The 24,540-nt window shown below is 37.1% G+C and overlaps 1 protein-coding gene across 8 annotated transcripts in view; it reads right to left on the bottom strand.

Moving 5' to 3' along the window:
• NALCN (sodium leak channel, non-selective) overlaps positions 1–24,540 on the bottom strand; it is a 363,404-nt gene that overhangs the window by 336,427 nt on the left and 2,437 nt on the right. For all 8 annotated transcript variants that reach the window (XM_011521069.3, XM_011521067.3, XM_024449336.2 and 5 more), the window contains exons 2-3: positions 8,817–8,963; positions 4,981–5,163 (exon numbers count right to left, since the gene is read on the bottom strand). In XM_011521069.3, coding sequence (XP_011519371.1) covers positions 4,981–5,163; positions 8,817–8,963 — 330 coding nt within the window. The remainder of the gene's footprint in view (positions 1–4,980; positions 5,164–8,816; positions 8,964–24,540) is intronic.

Raw genomic sequence — 24,540 nt, forward strand, 5'->3', positions numbered from 1 at the left:
GAAGCTCCAAAAGAATCACAAAACTAGAAATAAGAAAACACAGAAATGATGTCTAAATGATAAGAGACTAAAAAAAGAAAGAACAAAAACTGTTCAGGAAATGATGAAAAAGAAATGAAAAAAGTATTTGAGAAAGAGGAGTGAAATACAGGGGACAGAGGAGTGAGGGGACAGCATGAGGAGTGAAGCAAGGGAAAGAGAATGTAGAAAACATAAAAACAGAGGGAAATACATGGAAAGAAAACAAAGGAAAGGAAAGACCAAACCATAGATCCTGGTATAATTAGAATACAAAAGGAATCCTGAAAACAATGCAATAAAATAAATATCACATGATGAAACTAGGAAAATATATCCGTAACTATCAACAAAAAGATAACATACATTCTCATAGAGCTGCTGACTTGAACAATAAAGGGAAAGTCTCTTTCCGTATTCAGGAGAAAAGAGCAAGCCACTTCGAGGGAAAAAAAAACATTCTCAGCAGTAACATTTTATGCTGCTGGTTAACATTATCCTTGTGGTTAACATTTTAACCACGAGGCAAGGAAGCAGCAGATTTAAGAGTCTCAAGAAATGAAAATGTGAGACAAACACCTTCGAAAAGTTAGAAACAGACCCATAAAGTAAACCAAATAAAGCAAAGAAAGAAACTAATAAATGCACTTGGACACAGGAAGGGGAACATCACAAACCGGGGCCTGTCATGGGGTCGGGGGAGGGAGGAGGGATAGCATTAGGAAATATACCTAATGTAAATGACAAGTTAATGGGTGCAGCACACCAACATGGCACATGTATACATATGTAACAAACCTGCATGTTATGCACATGTACCCTAGAACTTAAAGTATAATAAAAATATTTTTAAAGGAAAAAAATTAAACAAAAATTAATAAGTTAATTAAGCTGATTCTTTTTAAAAAAAATCAACAAAATGAGCAAACCAATTGGCTAACCTAAAACAAAATGGAACAAACAAAAAATACTGCTAGCCAACCTGATGACAACAAAATGCTAATCAAAATAACAAAAAAATACAAAATTAGGAGAAAATCAAACAGAGGAAAGAAAAGCTATTTACACAGGTCTATGTTACCAAATAATTAAACAAAATAAATAGGGGATAATTTCCTAAGAAAATATACTTCACCAAATAGACCCCAATAGACCAAGCAAGTCTGAAACAGACAGTTTTGACTGAACACTGTGACTCACGCCTGTAATCCCAGCACTTTGGGAGGCCGAGGTGGGAGGATCGCTTGAGTCTGGGAGTTGGAGACCAGCCTGGGCAACATAGCAAGACCCTGTCTCTAAAAAAAGTTTTAAGAATCAGCCACACATGGTGGCACACACCTGTAGTCCCAGCTACATGGGAGGATGAGGTGGGAGATCTCTTGATCCCAAGAGCTGGAGGTTGCAGTGAGCTATGATCACACCACTACACTCCAGCCTGGGCAACAGAGCAAGATCTTGTCTCTACTAAAAAATGAAGACATAGGTCTGCCACAGTGGCTCACGCCTGTAATCCCAGCACTTTGGGAAGCCAAGACAGGTGGATCACAAGGTCAGGAGATTGAGACCATCCTGGCCAACACAGTGAAACCGCATCTCTACTAAACACACAAAAAGTTAGCCAGGCGTGGTGGCACACGCTTGTAGTCCCAGCTACTCGGGAGGCTAAGGCAGGAGAATCGCTTGAACCTGGGGGACAGAGGTTGCAGTGAGCCGAAAATGAACCACTGCACTCCAGCCTGGGTGACAAGAGTGAGACTCCATCTCGAAAAAACAAAAACAAAAACAAAAAAAAAACAAAAAATAAAAAATAAAAATAAAAATAAAACAGACAATTTCCATAGAAGAAATAGGAAATACTGCAAAGGAACCCCCACAAAAACGCAACAGGACCAGATGATTTCACCGGGAACTGATACCAAACTTTTAAAGTGAAAACAATTCTGAGAGTGCTCAGACTATTTTATAGTGTGCATACATGCCCGCCACCCACACACATGAAAAATCTAATATCAAAACCTGACAAAGATTAGACCAAATTTAAAATAAGGAAAATAATAACATATATAACAAAACAACACATTAAAATAGAATAAAAATGTATGTTGACCCAGTAGGGATTTTTCTTTATCGGAATGGAAGGATAACTCAATATTTAAAAATCTCTTCTCTTACAAGCACTAAGGAAAAAATAATAATTTGACAAATTAAAAATAAACATTTGACAAATTAAAAAGCTAGTTGTGCTACAACTCTCAAAATGTGAAATTAAAGTTTATTCACTTAATCCAATAATGTACACATACTTCAAATCCCAATTTTTTGAACTAGTTAATGAAGAAACACTAGAGATGTTCTAGATAAACCAAAAACAAAACAAAATAAAAATGTTCACTACCTCTACTAGTATTTAAAATTTTACCGGCAGTGTTAGTCAATTCATTTATTTTACTTTAAGTAAGTAAAAGCAACTAGGGCATAAAAATTACAAAGAAAAAGACAAATCTTTCTTTATTTGAATATGATATGATCATATGGAAGCATCAAAAGAATTAGCAGGAAAACTATTATGACTAATACAAGAATCTAGAACATTTAGTAAAGTAGCAGAATATAATATTAATGTATAGAAACCAACAGCCTTCATTTAAAAGAACAAGTTAGAACATGTAATAGAAGACCTCATACAAATAACAAAATGATTAAATAAAATACCAAAGCATAAATATAACCAAGAATGTGCAAAATCTGTATGAGGAAACCTACAAAACTCTCCTGTATGACATAAAATGCAGACAATAGAAAGTTTGTCCATGATTTGGATAAGAATTGTGTATGGTACAAATAACCACAAACAAAGCCAATCACAATGGCAAACTGGGAAAAACAATTGCAACTTATATCACAAACGGCTGATACTTCTAACACACACAGAGTGGCCAAAATTGAATGAAAAAATAGTAACTTAAAAATGGCTCTTGATACATAAAATCCCATCTAACCTCACTCTCAAAAGGGAAATGCAAATTAAAACTACAGTGGATTACCGTTTCCCACCCTTCAGACTGGCAAATATCCAGAAGTCTGACATATTTTGAGGTGACCATGTGGGAAAGAAGCACCTGTGCGCATTGCTGGTCAAAATACAAAGCAGTTCAGAGGACAAGGAGTACACAGAAACTATTCAAGAGCACCATCTGGAAGCAATCAGCCAAATCTCAAATGTAGAATCTTCCACAAGACAAAAGACGCATGTCTTCCAATGGATCAATGACATAGGAAAATTTTTTGCAGGATGTGAAAAGCTGAAACTTAGTGGACTTACAGAGACTTAAAGGAGACTTAAGAAACATAAGTGGGAGGCCGAGGCGGGCAGATCACCTGAGGTCGGGAGTTCAAGACCAACATGGAGAAGCCCCATCTCTACTGAAAATACAAAATTAGCCCGGGGTGGTGGCTTATGCCTGTAATCCCAGCTACTTGGGAGGCTGAGGCAGGAGAATTGCTTGAATGCAGGAGGCAGAGGTTGCAGTGAGCTGAGATCGTGCCATTGCACTCCAGCCTGGGCAACAAAAGTGAACCTCCCTCCCAAAAACGAAAACAAAAACAATCAAGTATACTATGTAAACCTTGTCTGAGTCTTGAGTTGAAGAAACCAACCATAAAAAAAATTTGTGACAATATTAGGAAATATGAACGGTGGGTTAAGTATTAGCCTACATTAAGGAATTATTGCTAAGTCTTGTTACAAATATTTTATCATATGTAAAATATTATTATATTTGATAATGGTATGGTGGTTATAAAAAGAGAAAATTTTATCAGTCACCAATACAAAAGGAGTTATTTCTGAAATGACTTGGTTTCTCAGATTTGCTTTAAAATGAAACAGAATTGGCTAAATATTGATAATTGTTGATGTGTAGTTACAGGGATTCACATTATAACTGTAATATACTTTGGGGTAAATTTTTTAAAGTCCACAATAAAAAGTTAAACAAGAACCTATTAATGCATTGTCTGTGATCTCTGTCTTTCAAGGATGGCACACAATTAATTATGTATAAAAGGGAAGCAATGAAATTGACAAATAATTATGTGTTATATATTGTCTCAGTAGATTCTCAAAATCCTTGTACAAAATAAAACACTTTCTCACCAAAATTAGCTAACTTGAGATGCTGATACAACCAGTAAGTGAAAGAACTAAGATCTGAGTCGTCTGTCATTTGTCAAACTCTAAAATCTGCACTCCTATTACTGCTTCCCCAAATAGTACAATTTAAATACTCTAGGGACAGCATCATCTACATATGTTTAACCTATGTAAAGATTAGTGCTATGGAAGGAAAAGATATCCAGTGACAGAAATTTTCTTCCTTTTCTTTCCCTTTCTTTACCCTTTTAAAACATTTTATATCTATTTTGTTTCCAATTGGTACTAATTTCACATGACACATAATTTTCCTTTTGGCCCCAGACATTTTTTCCATCTCATGTCCTTTTTTTTTTATCCTTTTGTATTTTCAAAACACATCAAGTAAATGACATCGTGCTGCAATAATATCATGCTCTAACTCTATCATGTGACTCTGATTCTGCACTCCCTAAGTCAACAAATAATAAGGTGCTTCTCTGGGCCAGCCCCTGTGCTGGGTTGTGGGCTCAGCCCTAAGTGGCATGAATAACCCTACTCGAGACTTCACACAGTCATTAGTCAAACCATCTTGTTCCTTCTCAGATATTCCAAGAGTTTGTGACTTACAAAATTTATTTAACTTTTAAAATAGTCTCATGCAACAATTTCTCCCAGTCTCTGGAGTTATGCCTTTTTAAAAAGGACTTCCATATGTATAAGATAAAATGATGTTTTGTTTTACTGAAATGAACAAGAAAATATGATTAAAGGGATTAAGACTTTCAACACATTTAGGTTCTTAGTTTAAATGACATGGAAGTGCTCACCTTGACAATGCCCCGGATGTGCATTTTTGCTATCATCTCTGCCGTGTAGAGAAACATCAATAATGTATCCAAAGTGAAGGTCACATACTGAAGTGGAGGATAGTGCTCGAAGGTCATTGGCGTATTCATACAAACAGAAATGACGCTGATGATGGCACAGATGCGCAGCAAAGAGTGAACCCACTGCAATGATGGTCCAGAGTTACTACACGGCACCATAACTGATATCTCAAACTTGTATTATGAACCACACTAAGTGGAAAACATAATACTGAGGTTAAAATAGTTTACTAATGTGGAGGTGAAGAAGAAGAAATCTAACACTAAGTGCATATAATGTGCTACAAATATTTTCACGTTTTTATATCATTTAATTCTCAAGGCACCTATTTTCCACATAAACACACTAAGACAGAAAGGTGGAGGCATTTCTGTGGCCATGCGTTACAAAGACCCAAAGCATAGACGGAACCTGATCAGGCTCTCCCAAACATCTGATAACCTCCTGGGCATCAGACTACAATATAGGAAGATTCTGGTTCAATTAAAATATGTGTTTGTAATTTAGTCACATAGGAACTTGATGTGCCATTACTTTTTTTTCATTTTTGTACTATAAGTACCTAGAATTAGGGGCATACTATATTTACCATAACTTCCCTAGCATCTAGCACAAGGGCCTATCATAGTAGTTAAGAAATGCTTTTTAAATGAATTGATATATAACACATCCCATATTTAGAATTTCCTTTCTATTTGTATCTGATATATAATGCCTTTGTATAAAAATACAAAGAAACTTTTTAAAAATCTGGTCTCATCCTACATTTGAAAAAAATGCATAGATTTTTTCTCTTTATTTTGGAGAACACATTTTATACAAATTTAGCCCAGACATCTTTCAAAATTCCACAAAATAACTTTCTGTGCAACACTACAGGCATGTCTGCTGTCTGAAGATTTTCTTTAACCCCAAAATAAGAAGAAAGAATTAAAGATAAGTGTGTGTTAACATGAATATATATACAGGACATACAATCACTCATACTCAATATTTTATTATGAAAACTAGTATCTAGGATTAAAAAAATACTTAACTGCATCTCCATGCTAAACCCACCACAATTAATATTACCAGTTAATCAATTAGTATACAATTCTTAAACATAATCCAAATACGTTTTTATTGACTATCTGGGACATATATGAAATTATGATAATTCTTTAATATAATACTCTGAAAAAAATTTTAGTCTTGTAGTAGATGGATTCTGCAGCTATATATACTAGCAAATACTCAAGATGAAAAATAGAAAAGACTGTCAGAACTTTCAGGAGACTCAGACACTTGCAGCTGAGGAGTTATAATATTTATCTGACAGTTATAATATTTACATGAAGATATTTTGCTGCTAATTCCATACCACATAAGCCACTGATGATTCAGTTTACTTTAAAGGTTGATGTATTTTTCATGCAATTTGGAAGCACTTCAATAAACATTGGTGTGTGAATTTAGCCCCATCTGGACTTTCAACATAAAGAATCTAATTATACAAAAGAGCTTCCAAATATAAGTTCTTCAACAACAAAAGTGTTTTTAGTTTAAAGACATAATTTTAATGAAGAATTATTAATTTTAGTAAGTGCCTCCAAGGCCACATCTTTTATACTACCTTCTTCATAAGTTTGTAGAAAGCTCTGTAATAAGATGGACACTAAGAAAAAGTTAGGGGTGCTTCATTCTCTATTCCATTCAATTCTCTAAGTATGAATGAAGGCCTACTATGTGTCAGAATGCTGGGAATGGAGAACAAAATATGGAAGCAACACACTTCTGACTCCTGCTTTGCAGTCCAAGAAGTAAAACACCTATGAATGTATTATATATATATATATATATATATATATATATATATATATATATACATACACATACATATATATAATGTGTGCATATACACATAGCATGTTATATGTATGTATATATTATGTTTCATGTAAATACACATACATGTAAACACATGTAGTCTGGAAGGCAGATTAGAGAAAGAAAGACAGACTGGGAAGGACAACAAAGAGTCCATGCAGATCCTGCATGTATCATGGTTAGGGGAAAGACAAGCACTGCAAGAGGCAAAAACATGTCACATTATATAACATTATAAAACATGTTCTAGATAAGACATAATATACATATATCATGTATAGTCTCACGTATATAACATATATACATATTACATATACATGTTATATGCATGCACATATAAATATATGTACACATTATACATACATATAATATATATGTATATGCATATGCGACATGTATATATGTTATATACACATGATATTTATATGTGTGGGTAATATGCATATATGTTAACACATATAACATATATGTGTATGTGTAATGTGTATATATGTGATATACATATAACCTGTTATATGTTTATATGTATGTGTATATAACATGTATATATACCTAAGACAATAGATCCATAAATATATGTATATTATATAAATATACACACGACCTACAATGTATATAATGTAAATATACACATAATATATGATGCATATAAAAATACAGTTATTTATAGATAACTTTATATTTACATACAAATATAAAACAGGCTAAGTGGAAAGAGAAGAGAGGTACATTCTGTCTGTGGTGGAAATAAGCCTTTCAGAGGAGGATGCCAGAGGTGACATCTCATCCAGTCCTAATGGATGAGGAGGATTTGACTCATCAGAGGAGCTGGGAAAGGGTCACTGGGGCCAGGGAGCAGTACGAGCAGGGAAAGCAATGTGAACAATCCAGAGAGCCTAGAGGAGTAGGAGGCTGCTGATGGGGCTCAAGTGGACAGTGTGCTGACACAGGAAAGGAGCAGTTGCTGGACAGGTTAGGTCCTGAATGAAAAGAAGCAGGAATGTCACACTAACGTATTTTAATTTGCAATGAAGGTAATAGGGATGCTTCCATGATTATAAAGCAGAAGCGTGATGTGAATAAAAATAGAAATATAGAAAGAAATGTGAGCAGGCAGGGAAAGTAACCTGGAGGGCAGATTAGAGGAAGAGAGACTGGGAAGGACAGCAAAGAGTCCAAGCAGATCATGTGTGTATCATGGTTGGGGGAAGGACAAGCACTGCAAGAGGGAACAGGCCATTTCCTTTTGTTACTTCAGCATCAACCATGAGATGAGTAAGAAGTTGATCCTGCTTGGTTTTGCAGAGCTGAGATTCCAGCACTCATGGATATGCATGCCTGTCAGGCTTAGTTCTGGTTACTATGCTTTCTGGCACACAGTCGTGCCTGGCCTAGCAGTTCTTCTCAAATCCTCATCAACTTAATTAGGCGGTGAAGGTGACAAAGTTCTTCAGAGATACCATCCATTATCTCATTGACCTTTTACTCAAATTTTGCAAATCAGAAGGAGACCTTTAATTCCAAACATGTGCATATTGTCTCACGGATTCAGGAACGTTGACAACAAGTAAAGGAGGTTCATTCAGAACAGGTTGCTCATCTTGGACCCCAGCTTTGGATCAGCCTAAGAAGTGGTATCATCTCTACACCATGTGACTCTGAGGACAGGGTGCACAGCGTGGGGAGGGGAGGGGATCAGACTACCCAGTGCATCTTCCTATGTGAGTAACTCATAGCGACATCTCACTATTTCATTGGATTGTTCTCTACTTCCAGACTCTGAACCTCATCCATATTCTACTGCAGCTCAGATATTTCGAAGCCAAAGGTACATGATATTTGAATTTGTCAATCACATTTATCTCACATCCACATATGCTTCTCCATACTCAAAGAAGAAACTTACTGGTTTGTTAATCCAGAGGATGTCAGCATTATCCGACAGAGACTCATCAGGACCAAAGTCAGTGACTGGCTGGGCTTCCACCCTGGAACTCTGCTTCCTTTTGAGCATGCTGAGGTTAGCTTTGGTGAGCAAGCACAAAACCACAGTCTGGGAAAAGGAAAAGTTGTATTTGTCATCTAAACCATCTTGCCCTCATCAAAAAATTGAGTTCCCCACATATATCTACTTATTTGTAAGGCATATATGTGTTCTACTCCATAGTGTATAATAAACATATGAAAATAGAAACTTTAAAAGGATGAGATAAATTAATACCAACAGAAGCTTGATTTTTTTCTCCCAAAGCAATGGATTATTTTATGTACTTCAAAAGCAGTTTAGAGGCTAGCTATTTAGAATAGCTAGAGTAAAATGGGTTGCTTCTTAGGGCAGACATATTCTTGGGAAAATCTTTTTAGATGTATGCTCTTATACCTAAAGCTGTCTCCACATAGAGGTGCTTTGTGCTAGAACACTGCTGAGTAATACAGATGAAATGCACAGATCTTCCCCATGGTTTCCCCAGTGTTAATTTAATACGACATTCACAGACGTCTCTTACTTCCAACAGTAGCCCCAAGTTGATCTCCCAACTTGGGAGGGGAGGGAGGTCAGAAAGAATGGGGGAAGAACCTCCCCTAAATGGAGATGTTGTTTTATGAATGCAGTGATTATCTAAATTCTTCCAGCTACTCTGAAGTAAATTGTTCATGAAATTACATTGAGGTGGGAGATGAGATGCCTGCTAACTGCTTAAATTTCCACAATTCTGAAACATCTACATCCTGTGATAGACGTTACCTCCCTATGGCCATTGCTACTGCCTTCCACAACTCAGCAGTCACTTGAAGGGGGGCTATTATATGTCAGCCCTCAGGACACAAATAGCAAATAAGTGCAATACAATGTGAGAAGAATTGTTATAAAGGCAGGTGGTACCTGATGATCCCTGAGTCGACTGTGAGACTTCCCATTTGATTAGCACCTGGATTGAGTCTTAAAGGAAGGTGAGGAACTAACAGCTATGGGCATATACTATGTTTGGGACACTTAGCAATGATATTTTATTTGATCTTTACAACAGCCCTAACCAAAAAAAAACAAAAAACAAAAAACTCATCTTCTTACACATGCATGAGAAAAATGAGAAAAGCTAGCCTCAAGGCAGGTAATAACTTGACCAAGGCCATCCAAGCAAACTTGAAATTTAAAATAAGCTCTGTTTGACTACAATGTGTAAGGGGTTTAGAGTTGACCATGCTGAAGCTGCAGACTATTAGGAGAATTTCTCAAGGCGGGTAACAGAAAAAAAAGAGCGCTTCAGGCAAAAAAAAGAGGCTGAGTCAGGAAAACGTAGCACTGCAGTTTTAACATCAGGCGGGTTCACTGGCTCTCCTATCTGGTGCTCCATGGGTCTAGAGAAAGAAACCTAACCAAGCACAATGGGTGCCACTTAGTCCTCACTGGAGTACAAGAACATGTTTGCAGTGTGTGTGTGTGTGTGTGTGTGTGTGTGTGTGTGTGCACGTGTGTGCGCGCGCACACAGATGCAGTTTTTACTGGAAAAGAGAATAAAACACAGAAACTCAGAACAAAGCAGCTCCGAATCTGATTGCCTGTATTGAGCACCTATCCCCATCGCTATGTGCTCCTTTATCTACCTGGGCAGGTATCTCTGCCTAACTCTCCTGATATGGGTTGGCTGTGTCCTCCCACCCCCCAAAATTTCATCTTGAATTATAATCCCCACAATCCCCACGTGTGGAGAGAGGGGTTGAATTATGGTGGCGGTTTCCCCCATGCTGTTCTCATGATAGGGAGTGAGTTCTCACAAGATCTGATGGTTTTATAAGTGTTTGACAGTTCCTACTTCACACACTCTTTCTCCTGCCGCCTTGTGAAGAAGGTGTCTTCGACCATGATTGTAAGTTTCCTGAGGCCTCCCCAGCCATGCAGAATGGAGTCAATTAAACCTCTTTCCTTTATAAATTAGCCAGCGTCGTCAGGTATTTCTTTATAGAAGTGTGAAAACGGACGGATTCACCTCCTATTCCCAGAAGAAAACAAGCTAACTGGCTTGAAGACATGCTGGGTATTTCCAGGCTGTTATTGCTCTGAATATTGAGTTTGAATATGGGCTTTGCAGTAGGCTGCACTAATTAATTTATGTTATATAATTGGAGTTTGGGACTCTTTGATATCCCATGTTAATGTATACAGAGTATTTAAAGTGTTTTTTTTTTCTCTGATGTACTGGTAGTGGGGAAGGAAATCTGGTGGCCTCAATTTGAGATGCCTCTTCAATGACAGTCTCCTATCCACCCAAATACTGAGTGTAGATACAATCTTTTAGAAATCCTTCAAGATGACACATACAAAGGAGCAAGTAAAAGAGTGGTTTCACTTCAAAGATTATATAAGGAATTTTAGAGATCTGTCCACAATTCCTCTTTCACTGAGCAGTGGAGACAATGGGCATATGAATTCCATGCACCTTTATTATCAATACGCCACCTAAAGCAAAAATCATTTTTGATTATGGATTTGTTTATCTAGAAAAATACATGTCCAGAATTTATTGTTTTTTAAAAAATTCCCACTTTGGTTATATCTGACCAACCAAAATAGTGCAATTATAACTGAATGACATTAGCTGTCACTCACATTTACCTTCACTTTACCTGCTCCCAGGTGCCACTAAATCTCACAGTGCCCAAGAAATGATCTAAGCTCCAAAGATACCTGGCTAATCCACACATACATAAAAACTCAACAACTAGCTCCTGGATCTCTAGATTTAATTTAATACTATTAAATATTATATAAAGCATTCAAGTAGTAAAATAAATTTAAGTTACAAACACATGAGGAATTCAAAATTAATTTGAGGTGGTTGATTGTAATAATTTTCCTTTGCAAACAGAAATATTGTTTTATGCCTTCATTCATGTTGAATCAATAAAACTGCATACAGCAGACCTATTATTTCTCTGATAAAAACCAGTAGGGATATTTAAGTATCCTAGGTAAGTTTATTATTTTGATAGGAAATTGCTCCTGTGTATCTGAGCCTTATCATTATTATGTTTTTATAAGCCAATATCTCTTTTTTCTGTTTACCAAAGTGTCCTTCATAAGACAGTACACAAAGTTTGAAAAACATGGCTTTCAAAAGGTTTCCGACATTTATTAAAAGTAGTTGGTATTTAAATAGTTCAATATCGGGAGAGAGGCTACACAGTCACAATGTATCCATTAATAAATCTTTTACTCAGAAACAGCTTATAGCAACTCAGGAAACTCATTCATCCCATGTTCATTGCTGTTTTAAATGGTTAAGACCCAGTTTTTGTATTCTGTGATAGCAATTTCATTTCTATTGGTATATACTTTCCCTACTTCATTCCAGCCCCGTCTTCACAGTATTAAAATTAAAATATTCCATTTTCTTTAACTGCAGCGCCCTTGCAACACTATGGGTCATTTCTTTCCCTTGCAGCTCTCTTGGGTTCAGTATTAAAGTCTTTTGAATCTTCTCCTGTCTTCCAAATTATGGTTCACAGCATGCCCTTCTTGCCTGTCTTCTCTACTTAACCCCTTAAGTGATCACCTGTTGTTACAGTTTCCATTACCATCTGTGTCCAGCTACTAATTTAGAGAGGTATCGGTGCTGCTTCCCCCGCAGATGTAGGAAGACGGTGCCAACACCATCATGAATGAAGATTCAGCCTGAGAGAGCGACATGAGCCAGGCATCCTGCTTTTCTCCTTCCTCTCATGTCCCAGACCCTACTGCTCTGAACTCTTCAGGTTCCCCATGTGCAGCGGGAAGGCCCAGCAGGTTCTCTTTGCACCCACTCTCAGCAGTGGATTGTTTTCTTGCTCATTCATTCCATATATGTACAACGGCCTTTTTCACCTATCCCCATTTCTAGACTCCTTTCTAGGTAGGCCATGGGCCCTCAGGTCTGGGATGCCTTTCAAAATGTTCCCTCTTTTATATAAAAAAAAATCAGCTTCCAAACACACTGTAGGTCTCCTTTGTAGCCCAGAAAACCTCAGTGTATCTTCTTATTTCTCATTCACTCACTCATTTGTTCATTCATTCATTCACACAGCAAATATTATGCATCCACTGTGGTATCAGGCACTGCGGTATGTGCTGGGTATACAGCACTGAATATGAAGGCATTCTTGAAGCTTACGAACTGCCTACTTTATTTAACCTTATGTTTCCAGGACCCTGAGTCCCACTGATTTGTACCTGCACTTCCTTTCACACTCATACCACATGCTGCACTCAGGTTGGCTAAACATACCATTATTCACCATCCTGCAACCTTTACTCAACTAATTCAAACCCTTTATCCAAGCCATGTCCTCTTTGTTATCCAATGCCAATCCCACATCAGTCTTTCCTAATTCCCTCACTTAACTCATGAAGACTTTGTCTATGTGTGTGATTTGTTATAACTGAAAAACTTAATATTTGGGAATAAAGATGTGAGAAGATAAACATACAACTTGTATAAAATGAAAGCATCTATTTCATTCTAAAAAGCCCCAAAGAAGACAGAAGTCATTGACTCATTTTTAATCATTAGGTGTTATTAAGGTTGTCAATACATCAATACCAACAACCACTCTTCTGATAACTTTTGTGCATAAACTGTGGGGTCTTTAGGAGTGCAAGTGAAATTGTTTATCAACCGCCCTATTGCAGACACAGACACACACATACACACTTAATGGTGGGTTTTTATCTCTTTGCTTAGTATCCCTGGCACAGTTTGAGAAGGAAATTAAGAAAAGAAAATGTTCAATAACATCTCCGGGACTCTTCACCTCAAACTCTGACTTTCATGTCTTTGGGAAACCAACCAGCATTGCTAGCAGAAGTTTCTCATTCATTCATGTTTGCATAATTGTTTTGTTTTTTGACTATCCTGACCATTTTGTTAAGTGACGTGGATTTAACATTGAACAAAACATACTAGGTCTTTTCCCTCCATGTTCCTGACATGGAAGACAACATACTGTATTTAAAGGCAGAGTAGCTGATTAATTAAAAGAGAGCCTCTAGTGTGGCGCACTTTCTCTTCAACGTCCATCTAGTGGTTTTCTTATTCCTTCAGTACCTTACTGCTGGCTCCATACTACCTCCCTAGGCAAGGAATATTGAGCAGTGGATTCCCAACACGTTTCTGTGCTATCGGGCATAATGAGATTCATGCAAAAATCCAGGAGAGCTGACTGGTCTTTCTTTGCCTAGATCTCAAATACTTAAACCTTAAATTAAGTTAGAAGAAAATAATTCTATTCTTATTTTATTTTCATTAACACAAGTAATACAGGTTTGTTGTAGAAAAATTAGAAAAACTATATAAACAAAATAAGAAACAAAAATGAAAGCCATCAGGGATTCCACTTCTAGAGACTCAATCATTTTTGCAAAGAATTTGTTGAGCACATACATTGTGTCTGCCACCGAACAAGGGGCTGCAGATGAAGTAGTAATTAGTTATGGTCTCTTGTGGAATTTTCTTTAGGGTGCTTACTCTCCAAGAGGATATGAATTGTATCTCTTTTAGGACTTTCTTTGCCACATATATTTTTCCATGCATACATTTATTTTTAAATGGCTGCTTACACATGGTTTTGTAACCAGATTTTTTAAATCTAGCCATATTCTGTGAACATCATCCTCTGTCAATAAATACACATGTGCAGAAAATCCTAACTGTAAGTAAACACTACCTTCAAACATCTGTGCCCCTTCCTTGTCTTTCTTGTCCCATAGCTCATTCACATGCTTATACGTGCAAGGCCTTACAAGGTGAGCTGATATAAGCACAGCTTTCCAGATTAGGTTCCCAGTGTTAAATTTGTATCTGAGAAAGGCATTACCCCATATTTTGAAGACACATGTATTTGATGTTACCAATTTGTTAATGTAGGCATTACAATATTAATTCTTATTTCAAATGTTTTTATTTCTTCCTCTTTTTAGTTCCAATAGCCACAGAACTCAAAACAACAAACCACTAAAATCTACATTTGAACAAGAGCTTCCTGTCCTTTCCCTATATGCACATTTACATCTTCAGTTTTACCTCAATACACCACAGTGAAAACTTGACGACAAAAGGCGATGCTTAACAGCAAGATGGCCTTGTTTCTGTAAAGTTTGACTGTCAATTTTGCTTGCTAAGTTCCTTCTCAGACAGAAGACATGTCCATTCAGAGCAAATGAATGTAGCATCATACATTTTATGCTATGGTTTCAACTAGGAAAAAATACCCCATATTTTTGTCTTATTATCTGTTATCCAACATCCATCCACCTGCCTCATGTGTCACCATCCCTGCCCACTCTGCCGTCCTCCAATTCCCAGGGCCCATTTGAGCCTCAGAGCTACTGATACCTGCACCTCCCTCTGCCCAGCTGAGTGTCCTCTCTGTGCATCTTGAGTGTATGAACTTCCCCTCTTTCTCTGAGCCCAGATCATCTGTGTCCTGCATGCTCACGCTCTTCCTCTCCCTCCATGAGGTCACCTCTCACGGCCTCCACAGCCTCTCACACGCACTGGGCACTTTCCAGACCAGAATCCAGCAACTCTGCTGTCTCCCATTTAGGGGCTGCTCAATGACTGCCTTGAGATTTCAATCATCACGACAATTTAAGGGAAAGTGTTAAAAACAGAAGTTGCTGTAAAAATGAATGTTATCTCCTACTCAGAATGCTTTCTCCAAAGGAAAATAGCCTTCAGTAGCTCACACACACTTGCACACACACATATACCCCATGAAAAAGTGCTTTGGGATACATGAGAGTTTCCATGTTAAAATAGTGAGCTCACTGGTTGATTTCAACCCAAATTACGTTTACTGTCATGCAAAAACAGAGTCCTTCTAACAAAAATGTTGGTTGAGGGGTTATTATGTGCCAGTCTGTTTAATAATATCATACATTTTCAGGCCATGTGTGGTGGCTCCCACTTGTAATCCTAGCATTTAGGGAAGCTGAGGCAGTGGATCGCTTGAGTCCAGGAGTTCGAGACCAGCCTGGGCAACATGGAGAAAACCCATCTCTACAAAAAAAAAAAAAAAATACAAAAAATTAGCTGGGAGTACTGGCATGCACCTGTAGTCCCAGCTACTCAGGAGTCTGAGGTGGGAGGCTCACTTGAGCCTGGGAAGTAGAGGCTGCAATGAGCCAAGATCATACTACTGCCCCTCAGCCTGGGTGACAGAGTGAGACTCTGTCTCAAAAAGAAAAAAAGAAAAAAGAATATGCACTATGTCATTCCATTTTCACAAGAACCATTTTACAGATGAGGAAACTTAGGCACAGAGACAAGACGGGACAATGTGCCTGACAGAACTATTGAATCAAAAATTAAGTATATTACAGAATGGACAGGAAATGAGAAAATGACTTTTTCAATATATTTAAATCATATAGCCTGGTGTTTACAAACTCTTGGCATCAATTATTTTTTGTGCAAATAGTACAGACATTTCTCATCTCCTGAAATTGAATCCATTTTTATTATCTGACTCACTTTATGATTTTTCTCACCACACACTTATAAAAATGTCAATTTTTTTCTGGTAGAAATCATCAAACCTCTCATTAAATCTATCTAAATAACCCTTTCAAGTTTCTGAAGGTATTATCCATTTATTATTCCTTTTTCCTTGAGGATGAATCCTAGAAATATTCTATTATACCTTCATTATTTTTTTCTCTAAATTTGGTAAAGAATGAGAAAAACATATTTACTAACTCCCATTTGATAATCTCACCCCATGTAGTGAAGAGACAGATCTCTCCATTTCCTAAAATGACAGATTTCTTCACTTCCTAGAGTTAGTTTTAGTCTCGTAATTTCTTGACTGACTAGGCTAAGAATATGAAAACTAAAAAATAGATTCCACCTATGATACATGGCTAAAAGAATGTATGTAATTTTTTACAGAGATTGTGCAAGAGCAATTAAAAGGTATGTATTGAGAAAGTTTTTCTGTCATACCCAAAATCCAAAGCCCAGAACACAGTTGTTATGATTTGTTTTGTAGTGCTCTCTGTTCTTCTAGCAAGGAAAATGCAGACAAAATAGAAATTCTCTAACAAAAGTTTATCAAGAGGTGACTGTTTATTTGATAAAAAGAACATCTACTCTATAAGTTTCCAATCATAATATGTTGGAATATCCCAAAAGGTGGTAAACTCCTTTATGGATACTCTCAGAGGGAATGACTACACATTTTAGAGTTTGCAGAAAAGATTTCTCCTCTGTCTGGGACTTTGCAATAGATGATATCCAAAGTGACTTCCAATGATAAAAGTGATTAATACTCTTGACACTGCTCAGATTTTTATGCATTTGATCATTTCTCAGGGTAGAATGAAAGTCCATAAACTACTGTGCATAATTATAGAATAGAAGCAAGCTTAGACATTATGTACTCATTTTTTTAACTTGAAAGATGAGAACAAATATTATTGAAAGCTTACTCCATGCCAGGCACTATTCTAAGCATTTGACACCTCTCTGAAGTAGTTTTTAGTATTATTCCCACTACAGAGATTAAAAATTGGAGGCAAACATGCCCAGACCCACATGAATTGGAAGCAAGTTTAGAATCCAAGTAGTCTATTTGTCGGGAGAACAGAGGGAGGGAGAGAAATGGTGAAGCATTTGACTTTCACTTTTTAACCTTAAGAACTTTTGTACATTTCACAAACACGAACTTCTGTACATGTTCACAAAGATGATGTGTTTTATTTATAATTTCTTTGAAACAAGTAAAACATTAAAAAAATTTTCAGTTTAAACAAGTTACACCTAACATTTGCTGAGGGTTTATTAAGTGTGAGGCTAATTGTTACCTATTTCTCACCATGCCTCAATGAGGTAAGTGTCTCTCTCTCTGTTATTCTGATTTTACAGGTGAAACTGAGTTTTGGAGAAGATAAGTGCCTTGTCTGAGGTCACATGGTTAGCTGTGATAAACCACGAGGGAGCCAGGTCTTTCTGATTGCCACCCCAGGAATACTTTGCTGTCCATGTCTTCTTTCAGTCTGACCCTTTCAAGTCTTTGTAAATAGAACAGTCTTCTTTCCCAGAGAACAGAGACGGGAATCTCCAAGTTCCTGCCTATTCCACGTCTAAGTAATAAAACCAAATTAGAGCATGCCTGCCACTAGACTTACAATGCCAGTCCTTCCGGGCCCTCTCAAGCAAGCCTCTCCTCCGCGTATCCTTAGCTTGTGAACTTCAATGAGCTGGATGCATCATTCCCTGTAATCTGGCCTCTGCTCAGAGGAAAGGCAGCAGCTCTATGTTTTCTCTCTTAAACTTAGCCTGGAGTCCTGCGTCTCCCCCAGCAACACAGCAGAGAACATGTTAGCAGGAGAACTAAGACAGCATCAAAAAACTGACACCCTGGGCATCACAGCGGCAATGCGTGTCTCCACAACAGAACAGCGGCCCACTCCCCTGCCCCTGCAGGTAGTGGATTGTTGTGGTTGATTTTCAATCTAATTTTGTACAAAAGTCAAGACCCTGATTTGGCTGCCTGGTTTTCTTTGTTCTTCCTTCTCTTTTTCTTTCTGCCTCTCTCCTTCTCTCTCTCTCCTCCAAATGCCACCTGCCACTTTTCTTTTGGGGTACTCATTCATCTGTGTCTTGGCCCTCACTAAATAATGTAGCTCTGCAAAAAACAGAATTTTGCATGCATGGTCCAGTCCCAGCAGACTTCAAGGGCTACCCAAGGTGGTGACCACATAGGGGAAGGCAAATGTTTCAAAGAACCATCTCCAAAAACAGACTCTTCTGTTTTCCTTTTGTCAAGGTACTGATTAGAAATAAAAAATGGTTCCCCACTTTTTATGAGTCTATTTCTTAAATCCCAAAGTAAAACAGCAGGTTATTTTTCTCTGGTTATTTCTAGAAAAACTCCAAAACTGTCATTACTTCTCCAAGGATTCTGTTTTGTTTTATTTTTTAATTGTGAAAATTGAATTTTCTCTGGCCTTTAAAGTGATTGGGTTTGCTAAAGGGATTCAGTACACACCACAATGCCCCAATGCCCTTTTGTCATTGCACCCTGCACGCCCAAACTAAAACTGTCATTGCACCTACATGCCCAAACTAAAACTGTCAAGCAGTATGAGAGGGAACTGGGTCGTATTTTTGTCACCTACATCACAGTAATTTTTATTTTTGTTTCATTGTAGTAGGAGCATTTAACACGAGAACTGTCTTAACAGATTTTTACATTCACTATAAAATGTTAACTACAGGCACAATGTCATAACACAGATCTCTCGAGCTCACTCATCTTGCATAACTGAAACGTTCTACCCAGTAATTAACAACTCCCCATTTTCCCCTCCTCCCAGCCCCTGGCCACCACCGTCCTACCCTGTGCTGAGTATATATCCTACTCTATATTAATTATCCAGTGTTGGATATTTTATTTTGATGAGCTGCTACTATCATTTATATATTATGAAAAACCAGAAAGGGGATACTTATTTTGATTGTGGTTGTTTAATCTTATAATATGAATCTGTAAAGGTTAGATAAAGAAGGTGGATGGTTTAAAACAGTGGTTTTCAAAATTTGCTACTATATTTAAACATAACAGAAGATCAAAGGGAGATTATGTTTTTGTGTTTGTTAAATTTTGCAATATGAATCCACAAATTTGCTCAAAAGGGGATGGTTTAAAATAGTAATTCCTAAAGACTGCTTAACATATGAATTATCAAGGGAGGTTCAGAAACATTCTCAACACTATAAACCGAATGGTTCTGCCTTCCTCAAGTCATATGTTGAAGCTCTTATCTCTAATGTATTTGGAGGTGGGGCCTTTGGGAGGTCATGAGGCCATGAAGGTGGAGACCCCATGAATGGGACTAGCGAATCTATAAGAAGAACGGAGGCAGCTGAATGGTCTGTGGACCAGGAAGACAGCCCTCACAGGAATCAGCCAGCACCTTGATCTTGGACTTCTTAGTCTCCAGACTGTATAAAACCAAAGTCTGGAGTTTAAGCCACCTAGTCTGTGCTATTTGTTACAGCAGCCCAAGCTAACTAAGACACTCAAGCTGAGGCCTCCTTCACCTCAGACATACTAAATCAGAATCTTTAAGGGTGGAAAACAGGACATTGTATTTTTTTAAAAACATCTTCAGGTGATCCCTGCACACCTCTCCCATCACTGTTTCCAAATTAATGAGGCATCACTAGCCTAGATGCTCAGAAGAGAACACTTAGAGAGTTCACATTGCATAGTCATGGCTCTGTGTGGAAAAGAATAAGAGAGTCTAATTATAAGCAACACAGGCAAAATATGTCTGAGACAAAAATTTTGATTTATAATTGTATGTATATACAGTATATTCTATTCTTTCCTCAGAAATCTTCAGAATTTACTTTTAAAATAACTAACTTGCATTGTATACAGGAATTAAATTTTTGTTTTATAAAAGGATAACTAAGATATTTGAGTTTTTGTTGGGGTTTCTGTTATGATTTTCTAGTCTAGACTACACCTTTAAATTGCCATTCAATGCCTTCAAAGAAAGGAAGCAAAACGATATTGCCTCTGGAAGTAATCTCATGTGAATTTCAAAATAACAATAAAACAACTAGAAAAGGGAATGAAGCAAAGGATTTACCCTGTAGATACTATTAACTGAAAGATAAAGCCGTAACAATTTCTTTTAACTAGACTTAATAGAATACAATAGCACAATCACCCAAGCTCGATGATCGGAAATTATTTTTAACCTAGGACTCCCTTTCATTCTCTTCCTTCCATCACTAAGACGTGGTAGCATTAGTTTTTGTGGATATATCTTTACCATCCACCTCTTCATTTCCATTACTGCAATCTGATTCCAGTTCTTCAATCTTGGAATTGTATATCCAATTTCTCCAGTGCATTTCTTCACTAACCTCCTTGTCATCATTCCAATTTGTTGGCATTCTAATTTACCTTAAATATACCTGTAGATCAATATTCCTCCCAGATTGGAATGCTGTAGCTCTCAGTTTTTGCTATCAGATTTAGAGTTTATCTATGTCATAGTGAATTCATTCATGTTTTCATTCTTAAAACTTTATCCTCTTTCTTTTTTTTCCTTTTTTTTTGTACTTCTTAAGATGAAATGCTGACTCCCAATACCATTTTAGGTCACAAAACTCTTTAAAAAGATATTGAGTCTGTGGGCATGCTTCCGCTTCCATTTCCCCTAAAATAAGCATCAGACTTTTTTTTTTTTTTTTGAGACGGAGTCTTGCCCTGTCGCCCAGGCTGGAGTGTAATGCGTGATCTCGGCTCGCTGCAACCTCTGCCTCCTGGGTTCAAATGATTCGCCTGCCTCAGCCTCCCCTCCCGAGTAGCTGAGATTACAGGTGCCCACCATCACACCTAGCTAATTTTTTTGTATTTTTAGCAGGGACGGGGTTTCACCATGTTGGCCACGCTGGTCTCAAACTCCTGACCTCGTGATCCACCCATCTCGGCCTCCCAAAGTGCTGGGATTACAGGCGTGAGCCACCGCGCCCGGCCAGCATTATGCTTTTGACTGTGCATACTATAATGCTCTGATCGTTGGTATATATGGGAAGCCTGTAGTTATAAATGTATTAAAGATAGCAACTTTTATGACTTTACGGTCTTTTTTCTCATTTAATCAAACAATTTTTTGAACTGTTTTCTGATATTTACACACTTCTACCTCATTTTTTTTTACTGATATCACTTGCCTAGTATGTATTTCTTCACCTATTTATTTTTCACTTTTGACTCATTTACAACGTAAGAGAATTGTCTACTGATATTTTTCAGGACTACAGATTTTCAGGACGTTATTTTATGTTTGCTGATAATTTTAGAGAGGAAGTATAACATTAATCTAAATTTTCTCTTTGTGGATAAGTAATTTCTGAAGCATTTGATCACAATGATGGTGAAATATTTTTCTTTTTATTGGTTTTCAAATCCAAAGTTTTTATCAGGCTATATGTAGATGTTGGCTAAGTTTTATTAATTGTTTTGGTACATGATAACTTATTTTCATCTGAAGATTTGGATTGTTTTTAATCTAAAAGAAAAAAAGAATCTTATCTCACTTTAAAACATGGCTGTGTTCCATGCACTGTGATCCCCTCTGTCAGGAAAAACATTTATTGGTGTGTCTCTGTTGGCTGTCTTCCATCTATATCATTCTCTCTCCAAACAACATCCTCTTTTCATCTCTTTTCTTTGCATAATTGGAAATAATTCTCACTCTTGATCTCTTCATAAATGATTCTCTTGGCTTCAGTGTTCTGGTCTATCCTACTTCTAATTCTTCCACTCCTGCTGCGGAGGCCTACCCCTGCCCCCACCCTGGACCTGTGGGGTCAGTCCCTGTCTTCAGAACATATTCCGGTATGGCTGCCTTGCCCTGGGATCTCATGGAGAAACAAGCAATTCTGTTTTACAAAAGCCTGCTTCCAACTTTCAACTTCGCTCCTTCATACTAAGGGGCTCTTCCAGGGTCTCTCTTCCGTATTTTTTGTACACTGATCTTAGAAAGGAAATTGTGAACTGAACTTTAGCTTTTCCTATCAGTCCTGTTCCATCTATACTGAATCTACCAGAAAAGCCTTGGATTCTGCAGCCTAGGAAAGAAAGATCCTCTTCTTCCTTTACCTGTGGGGGTACAGATTTCTCACTATGTAAGCCCTTTTGATCATTTACTTGAAGTCTGAGTAGGAAAGCAAAAAGCAGAATTAGACTCCTGAATACAACAGCCAATTTTCTAAAGGAACTTGCATTGATTTTTTTCTTTTTCCAGCTTTGAACTTTTATAGTATTCCTATTTTGGCTTTACTCTAAGAGGTATATTTTAGCATCTGGTTTTCAGGTGATTTTTGTAAAGGTCAAGTTTTTATATAGCACAAAGGTCAAACATCCAAATTATTATGTTACCTTCTTTTATTTCTGTAAAAGAGGGAATGTGATCCACCAACACTTTTTGTAAAAGGGTAGATTTACCTCAAAAGCAGATTAAGCAATTTATTCAAAATTATAATCTGAATTCTTTAGGAAATCAATTTAAAGACATACAATATATCTCTATAATAATTCAGATACTTCTTTTTTCAAAGACATAATTACTGGAAATTTATCATAAATAAATTATAATCTGAATTTTTCAGGAAACCAATTTGAAGATATGGAAAAATAGGTGACAGATATGGACATATTTGGATATTTATACTGAAAAACATAAAATAGAAATAAATCTCTACATTATAACTATCAGGACACTGTTTATAATGATGAAAAACTGGAAACAGCAAATGTCCAATGATAGAGGTATGGTTAAATATATGAGGCTGTATTTACTGGGTATGGTGTTATACAGCCATTTACAATTTTTAAGTAAGAAAATTATATAGAAATATTTTAAATATTTATAATAAATATTCAGTGGTAAAAACAGTATAAAAGTTGTCCAATGCCACGATGACAACTACCTGAAGTCAAGCCCTTAAAAAGACTACAAAAAACACACAGATATTGTGGTCATCTGTCTTCGGTTATTAAAACTAGCTGTTTACTCTTTTTTCTCTATCATTCTATCATCTCTATCAACTTTGGTTACTTTAAAATTCAAAAAATCAATTAAAAAAATTTAAGCATTTGCATAGAGTTTGAAGGTATGAAAATCTGTGCTGGTCCTTGAGACAGGCGAGAATTGTATAACATGAGTGAAGCTCTAAAATGTTGATAACATTTTGGGACAGGGGCATTCTTTTTTTATTTTTAAACAGAGTCTCACTCTGTGCCCAGTCGCCCATTCTAGAGTACAGTGGTGCCATCATAGCCTGCTGCAGCCTTGACATCTCTGGGCTCACGCGATCCTTCCACCTCAGCCTCCCAAGTAACTGGGGCTACAGGTGTACACCACTACACTTGGTGAATTTTTTTTTTTTTTGTAGAGACGGGGTTTCACCATGTTGCCCAGGCTGGTCTGGACTCTTGGGTTCAAGCAATAGGCCTGCCTTGGCCTCCCAAAGTGCTGGGATTATAGGCATGAGCCACCGTGTGTGGCCTTGGGGACCATTCTTAATATGTTTAAGCTCACTATCATAGTTTCCACAGCAAAACTAGAAAATAAGACATCTCACTGTATATCCACCTGCTTACATATTTGTCTTTCCTGAAGGATTCTTAGGCTCTCAGTTTATCTCTTTTTCTCACTCACCACCCAGCTTCTGGCCCAGTGCTTAGCTTATCTTAGGATATAGAGGTGTAGATGTGAATTTTCATTCACAAACTTGAAATCCACATGTGACTCTGACCTGGGATAAATTTATACAGCTATGGAAATTCTGAAATTATCTGAACATCATCGATAAATGATAAAACAAATGTGTACATTTGTGTATACACATACATGCACACACAAAGCATGCCGGAATGATAAAATCACCTGGAAACCATTTCAAAGAAATGCCATACCCAAGAAGAAGAAAATGCTACTCAAATCTTCAGTTCACTAAATTGCAACTAAATGACACTATTTTGAGTAGACTTTTTTTAAGTACATTTTTTAAGTACATTTCTCCTTTGAATATCTTGCAAGTCCTATCCAAAGTTATAAGTGTACA

Source organism: Homo sapiens, chromosome 13 (genome assembly GCF_000001405.40).
Source record: "Homo sapiens chromosome 13, GRCh38.p14 Primary Assembly".
Classification (NCBI taxonomy): Eukaryota; Metazoa; Chordata; class Mammalia; order Primates; family Hominidae; genus Homo; species Homo sapiens.